Here is an 11,666-nt window from a genome sequence, read left to right as displayed (position 1 = left end):
CTCCCAAAGTGCTGGGATTACAGATGTAAGCCAGTGCGCCCAGCCTGAAGTGGTATCTCTAAAACAAGGCTGCCAGTCCCCTTTCCCAAAGGTCTCCTGAGTCATGTTTCACTGGAGTCCACCTGCCTGGAGCATGACCGTCTTGGTCTGCTCATTGTCATTTCTTGCTATGGCAGGGCAACTCCTGCTACAAATTCTAATGTTCAACATGTCTACAGTCATTAGCAGCAGTAGTCTCCGCTGCTTCTTCTATAGAACACCATTACTAGACTCCCACGGGATGGAAAAACGCCTTTGTTGATCATTCCTGGCTTTGAGTCAAGCAAGATGTCAGGAGAAGCAGCTTGAGGAGTGGTTGCTGCCTGCTAGTCTCCAGTCAGGACTGACATATGCAGTCTGCTCTGTTGCTACTGCAGACATTTCATTTGGAATAGCTACACTGATAAAGTAATTGGAAATACTTATGTTTTTATATTATGGGTCCATGGAAATGATTTGCATAAAAGGATCTTTACATGCCAAATAAAACATTACCACAAAACTCAGGTTGATACCAAATGACTGCTTTTGAGGCAATTAACATCCCACTTTGGGTCAGTTTTGTTATTGTCATTGTTTTTGTTATTGGAATCAACTATACAACAGCAAAACCAGGATTCATGAAAGAAATAATTGATAAGCTGAACTCCATTAAAATTAAAAGCTCCTGCTCTGTAAAAGATACTGTCAAGAGAATGAGAAGATGAGCCATAGACAGAGAAAAAACACTTACAAAAGAGGTATCTGATAAAGAGCTATTATCCAAAATAGACAAAACACTCTTAAAACTCAACAATAAGAAAATGAACAACCTGACTGAAAATAGGCAAAAGAACTGAACAGACATCTCGCCAAAGAAGATATAAGATGGCAAACTCGCATATGAAAAGATGCTCAACAAACATATGTCATCAGGGAAATGCAAATTAAAAAATAAAAAACAAGGCCAAACATGGTGGCTCATGCTTGTAACCCCAGCACTTTGGGGTTACCAAGTAGGGTGGCTCTCTTGAGCCCAGGAGTTCGAGACAAGCCTAGGCAACATGGTGAAATTCTGTCTCTACAAAAAATAAAAATAAGGCCAGGCGCAGTGGCTCATGCCTTAACCTCAGCACTTAGGGAGGCTGAGGTGGGCAGATCATGAGGTCAGGAGTTCGAGACCAGCCTGACCAGCATGGTGAAACCCCGTCTCTACTAAAAATACAAAAATTAGCTGGGCATGGTGGTGCATGCCTGTAATCCCAGCTGCTCAGGAGGCTGAGGCTGGAGAATCAGTTGAACCCGGGAGGTGGAAGTTGCAGTGAGCCGAGATCATGCCACTGCACTCCAGCCTGGGCAACAGAGTGAGACTCCATCTCAAAAAAATAAATAAATAAACTAAAAATAAAAAAAATAATGAGATACTACTACACCCCTTTTAAAATGGAGAAAATCTAAAACCCCAAATGCTGGTGAGGATGTGGAACAACAGAAACTCTCGTTCATTGCTGGTGGGAATACAAAATTGTACAGCCACTATAGAAGACAGTTTGCAAAATTAATATACTCTTATCATCTGATCTAGCAATCATACTCCTTGGTATTAAATATTTACCCAAAGAAGGTGAAAAATTATGTCCACACAAAAACCTGCACATGGATGCTTATAGCAGCTTTATCTATGATTGTCACTACTTAGAAGCAACCACGATGTCCTTCAGTGGGTAAGTGGATAAACTGTGGCATACCCAGACAACGGCATATTATTCAGCACTAAAAAGAGAAGAGCAGTTGGATGCGGTGGCTCACACCTGTAATCCCAGCACTTTGGGATGCTAAGGCGGGTGGATCACTTGAGGCCAGGAGTTCGAGACCAGCCTGGCCAACATGGTGAAACCCTGTCTCTACTGAAAATACTAAAATTAGCTGAGTGTGATGGTGGGCGCCTGTAATCCCAGCTACTTGGGAGGCTGAGGCATGAGAATCACTTGAACCTGGGAAGCAGAGGTTGCAGCAAGCTGAGATCATGCCACTGCACACCAGCCTGGGTGACAGAGTGAGACTGCCTCTCAAAATAAATAAATAAAAATAAAAAGAGAAGAGCTATCCAGCAATGAAAAGACATGAGAAACCTTAAATGCCTATTACCAGGTGAAAGAAGTCAATCTGAAAAGGCTACATATTGTATGATTCCAACTACTTGACATTCTGGAAAAGGCAAAACTATGGAGACAGTTAAAAGATCAGGGGTTGCCAGGAGTTAGGGGAAAAGAGGCATTTTAAGGCAGTGAAACTATTCCATATGATACTATCATAGTGCGTACACATACACCAAGAGTGAACCCTAATGTAAATTACGGACTTTGAATGATAACGATGTGTCGGTGTAGATTCACCAGTTGTAACCAATGTACCACTCTGGTGTCGCATGTTGACAGTGGGGGAGGTTGTGCATGGGTGAGGGCAGAAAGTTTATGGGAATTCTATGTACTTTTGTACTTTCTTTTTTTATGAAGCAAAGTCTTGCCCTGTCACCTAGGCTGGAGTGCAGTGGTGCAATCATGGTTCACCGTAGCCTCGACCTCCCAGGCTCAAGCCATCCTCCCACCTCAGCCTCCTGAATAGCTGGGACTACAGGCACGTGCCACCACATCTAGCCAATTTTTGTATTTTTTGTGAAAATAGGGTTTCACCATGTTGCCCAGACTGGTCTTGATCTCCTGACCTCAGGTGATCCACCTGCCTCGGCCTCCCAGTGTGCTGGGATTCTAGGTGTGAGCTACCACTCCTGGTTACAAACTTAAAACTGCTGTAAAAAACAAAGTCTATTAAAAACAAAAACAAAAACAAAAAAGAACTACGGAAGAGCTTTACATATGTCCTCACATGCCTCCTCTTTGAAGCACTGAAGCTGTTTGGATGTTAAAAAGCTCTTTCATATAAGATTCTTGGGTGACAGTAGAAACATGTGAATTCAAACCATATAAAAAGAGTTTGAAACAGCTGAGTCCACTGATTGAGGTTCACTGCTAACTAAGTGCATGTCCATAATTAGGCCAGCTTCCTTGGATCTTGCACCTCAATGTGAATATGAGAATATTGGACCACTTCCACCTTGAAAATATGATTCATTTATTTTCATTTTCCATTTTTATTTCCATAGTGATAAAGTGGTAAGTTTTCAAGACTATTGTCACAGTGGACCCAATGATGCTAGAGGGAGCATAACTTTGGAAGTCAGGTAGTGACTTGAACTGAATAAACAGGAAGAAAGATATTGCAGGCCCAGAGACTTATGCAAAAAAATGTATTCAGAATCAGGAGACTTCAGGCAGCAAACTTGGGGGTATTCTGTCCTTCACAGAAGAAGGGTCCAGAGCTGATGGAAGGTCCATGTGATTCACATAGAGAGGTTCTCAAGGCCAGATTTCTCCCCAGTATGGAAGACTCAAATGAATGATTCACTGTGGATATTCTGAAGGGACACAGCTAGAACCAAAGATACGTGAAGAAGATTTTTACAAAATAGAAGAAAACTTCACATTTGCCCTCTGAAGGTTCACTGAAAATCAACTGACAAAAGGCAGATTGATAGAAAAAAAGGCATACAAATGCATTAACATGCGCAGGGGAGAATCACAGAGTCATTGCCCCACCACACAATGGGGTACAGATGGCATATACCCTTCTTCTTAGGGGAGAGGAAGATAGGGAAGTATGGATGATCTTAGGGGGATACTAAATGATTTTTAGGGGAATTCAATGGGCTTGAAGAACATACAGTGGCCTGAAACAAAGTCTGCTGGGCCAAAAGAACAGACAATAATTTGCAACAAGTCTGTCCAGGTGTGTTGACAGATTTCAGTCTTTCTTCCTGAGATGTGACTTTAGTTAATGATCAGGAAAGTGACCAGAGGTAACTGTTTTCTTCTTTGGCAGGTCCAGACATTAGGCAGATAAGAGAACTTCAGAGAACCATTTCATCCTGTACTTTGGGAGAGACAGAGAATTGAAACAGGAGTAGGCAGAGGTCAGAGAGACCTGGGGGATTCTTCTTCAGGTCAACAGGTCAAAATGCCATATTTTGGGGGTATTGGTTTCCGAGCCCCAACTCTCTTATTGGTTCTGTTTCTCTGGAGAACCCGAATACAATGATTTTTAAAGCCAGAAAAAAAAAAAAAAAAAAAGGTAATGAGGCAAATTGCACCCTCTGATAAAGTTTCTGCCACGTCTCATTTACTAAAGCAATCATATGGCCATGCCCCACCCCAGTAAGTGGAGTGGCAATTCTACTATATGCCTGAAAGAAGGAAAACCAGACATCTTTGGTGAACAGCACTAGTGATTACCTCACACTTTACTACCTGAATAGGCAAAGAAATGGGCCCACAGGGATATTCATTCGTAAATCTTTTACCTTATTAGTGGCAGGTTTAATGGAGTTTCTATCCAGTGTTGTTTCCCTTCAGCCTGAAGAACTTTCTTTAGCACTTTTTGTAATGCAGGTTTGCAGCAACAAATTCTCTTACTGTTTATTTATAGAAAGTGTTTTCATTTTGTCTCACTCTTGAAAGGTATTTTTGCTGGGTATAGAATTATGCACTGACAGGTTTTTTTTTCCTTTCAGAATTTAAAATATATGTTTCCAGTATCTCCCTGCCTCTATGGTTTCTAATGATGAAGTCATTTGTGGCAGTGCTCCCTATATGTGATGTCATTTCCCTTTGGCTGCTCTTTGTCTTTGGTTTTCAGCAGGTTGACTGGGATGTGGCTAACTATGGTTTACTTTGTTCTTATCCCTTTTTGCTTTCTTGAAACATTTTTTCCCAGCTCCATCATATCTCTCCTCTTTTTAGAATTCCAATTACATGTATATCAGACCTTATTGTATTTTCCCCCTGATCACTCAGGATCTGTTCATTTTTAAAATCTTTTTTTCTCTGTACTCTTTAGGTTAGTTTCTCCTGATGCATCTTCCAGACATGCCATTTTTTGGTTCTAAAATTTTCAGTTGGTTCTTTTTAATTGTTTCTGTTTCTCTGCTGAGATTTCCTATCTGGTCATTCATTGCAAGCATATTTTCTTCATATCATTGAGCACAGTTATAGTAGCTGTATTAAAAATCCTGTCTACCAGTTCCAGCATCCAGGTCATCCTGGGGTTAGTCTCCATTGGTGACCTTCTCTCTTATGTATGGATCTTGTCTTCCTGTGTGTTTCTATGTCTAGTAATTTTGGATAATATCCTAGATACTAGGAATGATATGTTGTAAGACTCTGGATTCATTATATTTTTTGAAGATTATTGACTTTTTTTGTTTGTTTAATGAGCAGTTAACTTGGGTGTAGTCAAACTCCAAACTCTATCTCCTCTGTGGTGGGCAGCAACTGAAATCTCAGTTCGGTTCTTTTCTCCTCATGTTGCACTTCTTGAAATCTTCCCTAAGAATGTGTAGGTCAGGGGACAGCCAGTATATACACCGAATTTAGGGCTCTCCATCTATGCATCTCTTTTGTCATATTTCCCCCCTTCCTTTTTTTTCCAGCTGCTGTGGTTACCCTAAACTCCTCTGCTTATTCGTGCCTCTTAGGCTAAGGGTTTCTCCGCTTTAGTCACCTGTGTGGTGGCTGATTGAAGCCTGACTTCAGGCAAAAAGCTGAAAGAGAGAGAGGAGAGGAGAGAGAGAGAGAGAGAGAGAGAGAGATATTATAAGGAAGTGGCTAATGCAACGATGAAGTCTGAGAAGGCCCATGATCTGTCATTGGCAAGCTGGAGACACAGAAATCCAGTGATATAATTCATTCTGAATCTAAAGGCCTAGAGGAAATGGTGTAAATTTGTATCCAAGGTCAGAAGGGGATGAGATGAGATATCCCAGCTCAAGCAGTGAAGCAGGAAAAAGTGGGGGAAATTTCTCCTTCTTCCACCTTTTGTTCTATTCAGGTCCTCAAAAGATTGGATGATACCCACCCACCTTGTGTAGGGCCACCTACTTCATTGAGCCCACTGATTCAAATGCTAATCTCATCCAGAATGACCCTCCCTCACAGGCACATTCAGAAATAACATTTAACCTGGGCACCCTATGGCCTAGTAAAATTGTCACATATAATCAACCATCGCAATTATGAACGCACAGAGACAGCATAGACCCAGCCAACCTTCAATGAGCATAGTCTGAGTGAGTTTGGGGACTTGTTTTTTCCCACAGCATAACTTAGGCTATCCTGACTGATACCAAGATGAGTACCTAGAAAATGGTGACAACAAGAAAAGAAAATAGATGGCACAGGCTTAAACGCAGGCATCCAACTTCATGGAGACTTCTATTGGTGCCTGGAAGGTCGATGATCCAGGTTTGCAGTGGCAAAACTTGGTAAAACTTGGAAGGTGATAACTCCTAGATAACTTGGAAGACAGAAAATTCACCCAATGAAAACTCTTTTTCCTCCTGACATGGAATCCAGCAGGCAATGTTCAAGATAGTGAATGTGCTACCAACATGTGTTCCAAAGTCAGAGCATGTACAGCATGATGGACATGAGGGATAAGCCTTTCTTAAGACACTGAGATTTGGAGGTTTGTTACTGCAGCAGAAGCCAAACCATTCTGGCCACAAAAAGAGGCACTAAATACTCCCTCCTTGGGTCATTTTGTTACCAGAAAGGGGTCCTGATCCAGACCCCAAGAGAGGGGTCTTGGATCTCGGCACAAGAAAGAATTCAGGACGAGTCCATAGAGTAAAGTGAAAGAAAGTTTATTAAGAAAGTAAAGGAGCCAGGCACAGTGGCTCATGCCTGTAATCCCAGCACTTTGGGAGGCTGAGGTGGGCAGATCACCTGAGGTCAGGAGTTCAAGACCAGCCTGGCCAACATGGTGGAACCCCATCTCTACTAAAAATACAAAAATTAGCTGGGCATGGTGGCAGGCTCCTATAACCAGCTACTCGGGAGGTTGAGGCAAAAGAATCACTTGAACTCGGGAGGCAGAGATTGCAGTGAGCCAAGATCACGCCGTTGCACTTCAGCCTGGGCGATGAGTGAAACTCCATCTCTCAAAAATAAAGAAAGTAAAGGAATAAAGAATGGCTACTCCACAGACAAAGCAGCCCTGTGGGCTGCTAGTTTCCCATTTTTATGGTTATTTATTGATTATATGCTAAACAAGCATTTATTGATTATGCTATTCATGCCTCCCCTTTTTAGACCATATAGGGTCACTTCCTGACGTTGCCATGGCATTTGTAAACTGTCATGGCACTGGTGGGAGTGTAGCAGTGAGGATGACCAGAGGTCACTCTCGTTGCCATCTTGGTTTTGGTGGGTTTTGGCCAGCTTTTCTACTGCTGTTAAAAACAAACTGTTTTATCAGCAACATCTTTATGACCTGTATCTTGTGCTGACTTTCTATCTCATCCTGTGATTAAGAATGGCTTAACCTCCTGGGAATATAGCCCCTCAGGTCTTAGCCTTATTTTACCCAGTCCCTACTCAAGATGAAGTTGCTCTGGTTCAAATGCCTCTGATAGTTTATCCAGTCACATTCATAGAGTGTGGCTGGGAGTGGTGGGCAAACTATACTATGTTTTCCCTTAGTACTGATAGAGTGGAGGCAGTGGAAGATCCAGGACTGTGTGAATATCTATGGCTGCTCAAGGTTGGATATAATCCCACTTTCAGCACAAGGTTGAAAACAATGCTTTGCATTGTCATAAATAGGGCATTAAGGGCTCAAAAAACAATACCCCAAATGAAGTCCTCAGAAGCTAAAGTTTTTCTCTGATCATCCTCTGCCCTGCTCTCTCCCAGTCTCATTCTCCCCTGAGGCTAGCCATAGAAACTGAATTCCTCTTCTCCAAGGCGGGTCATAGAAACCAGAATCGCTTTTCCCCAAAGCCAGCCATGAAACCTAAAATTACTACTTTAACTTTCTCTCTGCCTATCTATGTAAAAACTGGCCATAAAGATGTTATCTGACCTTCCTTATTTGACTGTAGGTCATAAGACCCCATTCCAGAGAAGGTCCTCCCCTACACCCAGAAGGAAGAAATGCATGCTCAGAGAGGCCAAGAAGAATTCAGACATGCCTTGCTGGGCTTCCCCACGCGGTCTGTTAGCACTAGACTAACAGACTAGTGCTCTTTGGTCCAAGTGTATTTCTGTATGGCCGTCCAGACTTCGTTGAACCTATGCAAAAAAAATGGACACTGTATCTTTGGGTCTTAATTCTGAAGGCTCCCATGTGTACACATTAAATAGGTTCACATGCCTTTTCTCCAATGAGTCTGCTTTTTGTGAGTTGATGTTTTCAGTGAAACTTTAGAGGGCAAAGGGAAAATTTTATTTTGGCCCCTACCAAGGGCAAAGTGTAGAAGAAAATCTACTTGATGGGTCTCTGACTCTTGTATGTGGAAACCTCACTCTGTTTGTATTGAAGCAAATTAAAAGCCTAGCCCAGAGAGAAGAGCCATTGCCAATACTGGCAGATTCTGAATCAAGGTTACAGTCTGTGAAAAGAACAGCGGTGCAACAGTGGGCACAGGATAATCCCATCTTTGTTGTTGAAAAGATACACCCCTGCATTAGGACAAGGGCTATTGAAGAAAGAAAAGAAGAAAAAAGGAAAAGAAAAAAGAAAAAGAAAAGAGAGGAGAGGAGATCACTTGAGGTCAGGAGTTCCAGACCAGCCTGGCCAACATGGCAAAACCCCATCTCTACTAAAAATACAAAAAAATTAGCTGGACATGGTGAGGCACACCTGTAGTCCCAGCTGCTAGGGAGGCTGAGGCAGGAGAATCGCTTGAACCCAGGAGGTGGAGGTTGCAGTGAGCTGAGATCGCGACGTTGCACTCTAGCCTGGGCGACAAGAGCATAACTTAGTCTCAAAAAAAAAGGGGGTGGGGGAAGAAAGACAGAAGGCGAGGTGGCTCACGCCTGTAATCCCAGGAGGCCAAGGCAGGCGGATCACCTAAGGTCAGGAGTTCAAGACCAGCCTGGCTAACATGGTGAAACCCTGTCTCTACTAAAAATACAAAAATTAGTCGAGCATGGTGGCAGTCACCTGTAATCCCAGCTACTCAGGAGGCTGAAGCAGGAGAATCACTTGAACCCGGGAGGCGGAGGTTGCAGTGAGCCAAGATTGCACCATTGCACTCCAGCCTGGGGGACAAGAGTGAGACTTTGTCTCAAAAAAAAGAAAAAGAAAGAGAGAAGGAAAGAAAGAGAACATAGACCTTTAGTGTGTACAAATTAATACCGAAAGGCTAGAAATAATATTTCAAAATGTCAAAGTTGACTGACTACTCTAGGATTATGGCTGATTTCTATTTCTTTACTTCCTTTTTCTGTGTTTTCTGGCTCTAAAATGAATACATCTTATTTGTGAAATAAAAGTTTTTAAAACAAAACAAGCCCAACAACAAAAGATAGGAAGGGGAAGAAGTCTGGAAACGCAGGAATCAAATGAACACTGTCTAGGAAAAAGGCAGAAAACCATGATATGCTGAATCGCCTGGTGGGCACTGAAGGCCACCCCTCAGAGCATGGGAGAATTCTAAGAATACAAGTAGGAACTTTTTTTCCTCTGGTCCTGTGTATTCACTCAGAGAAGAATATTTGTTATTGCAACAGGAAGCAGTTGCTTAGCATGAAATTTTCAAGACTCAACAATATTCAAGACAAATATTTTTGGAGCTCTGTCAGGCCCAGGGCTGCAGACAGAAAGATAGTCTTCCTGCTTCATCTTGCCTTTTAGCAGTATGCAGCATTTTTTAAAAATTGAGACAGGATCTTGCTCTGTTGCCTGGGCTGGAGTGCAGTGGAGCAATTATAGCTCACTGCAGCCTCCAACTCCTGGGCACAAGTGATCCTTCCACGTCAGCCTCCCTAGTAGCTGGGACAGTCACGTGCTTAGGCTGGTCTATAACTCATGAGCACACGACCCTCCCCCCTCTACCTCCCAAAGTGCTGGGAGCCACTGCGCCCAGCCAGTATGCAGCATTTTATCATCCACTTGGATCACCATTAGCAACAATTAGAGTTCTTCTTAAGGCCCCTTTCAGCCCTCTGTGTGCACTTCAAGTGTTTGAAAATGAAAGATCACACCACTGCACTCCAGCCTGGGTGACAGAGCTGGAGTCTCTCAACAAAAAGAGAGGAAAAGAAAAATATAATAGAACACTAACTTGAATAAGGTAATCCTTGGAGGGAGACAAAGATTTGATTGCTTCTGGGTAAGCCACATATACTATAATCAATAACAATGAATGAAATTGATCTTTTATGCAGTACTTGAGGAAAAAAAATTAAAGGAAAGAACAAAGACCAGAACTCTAGGTTTTGAGTCTCCCCCTACAAAGCATCTCTTTGAAAAATGATCCATTTTCACCACCAGCCAACTGTGTGATTCTGGCTTTAATCCTTTTCCCTTGAGTCTCATTTTCCTCCCAACAAAATGGGGACGGATATAGATGTGGTCAAGGTGGGAATTGTAACGTTGGACCAGTCGTCTTCCAAGACACCATGCAGCCCAGCATTCTATAATTTTGGAATTCCAGGGAGTCCACGCACATCATTTAAGTCCCACATGCTAGTTCTTTTGTCTGTTTTGTGGTTTTCTGACTGTAATACATGATGGACCCAACATAAACTTTAATAAATAAAAAGAGAGGGGATGCTGACATTGACCAAGATGCAAAACAAAACTCATTTATAAAAGAAATAGGCCTCGTTCAAAGAAATAAATCATTCTCCCTGCTAATATATTTCCTGCTGGTTTCCCTTGAAGCTTTGTTGTTCATTTTTCTCACCATCAGTAAATAAGAACTGTTTGTTACACATGTAACTACGTAGTGTTTTCCTTCTAAACTATTGTACGTTGTTTGGTAGGAGGCACATATTTTTCCCAACTGTTCTGATTGTCATTGGTGTTAATAAAGAAAAAAAAAGCCGTTCCACTCGGGTTTATTCAGAGAGTTAACATCTGATTTTACATGGACGCCTTTAAAAGAAAAAGAACAACATGGCCTGAAGCGCTTCTAGCACAGGGTGTGGAAGTATTTGATGTCCTGGTGCTTGTTCATAAAAGAATGTTGTTTTGAAATGTACAGTGAAGTCAGGGAGAGAGATCCAAAGAAAGTTCCCATTGAGACAAAATCAAATCAACCCGCCACCCCCCAAACACTTCCCTCCTGGACCAGTGGGTACTTTGGCGCTGTGCCCACCATCTGGGTCCAGAATCCCAATAAGGCCCCAGCATTGCTGCCTGCAGTGATGTGTGAACACAGGGCTTGTTCCCAGTCAGGGCACTCACCGGCAGGAAGAGAGACATATTTTGTCAAAGGTGATATAGGGTCTCTGAAGGTATTCTGTGAAAGTGTCTTCACTCAGGTATCTGCCCATCCCCACAAACCTACTGGCTCAAGGATTTTCTTTTTCTTTCTTTCTTTCTTTCTTTTTTGAGACAGAGTCTCTGTCTGTTGCCCAGGCTGGAGTGCAGTGGCGCAATCTCAGCTCACTGCAGCGGCGCAATCTTGGCTCACTGCAACCTCTGCCTCCCAGGTTCCAGCGATTCTCCTGCCTCGGCCTCCCGGGTAGCTGGGATTACAGGCACGTGCCACCATGCCCAGCTGATTTTTGTATTTTTAGTAG

This window comes from Homo sapiens, chromosome 16 (genome assembly GCF_000001405.40).
Source record: "Homo sapiens chromosome 16, GRCh38.p14 Primary Assembly".
Lineage (NCBI taxonomy): Eukaryota > Metazoa > Chordata > Mammalia > Primates > Hominidae > Homo > Homo sapiens.
The sequence above is the reverse complement of the archived record's forward strand: the minus strand, read 5'-3'. Positions refer to the sequence as shown.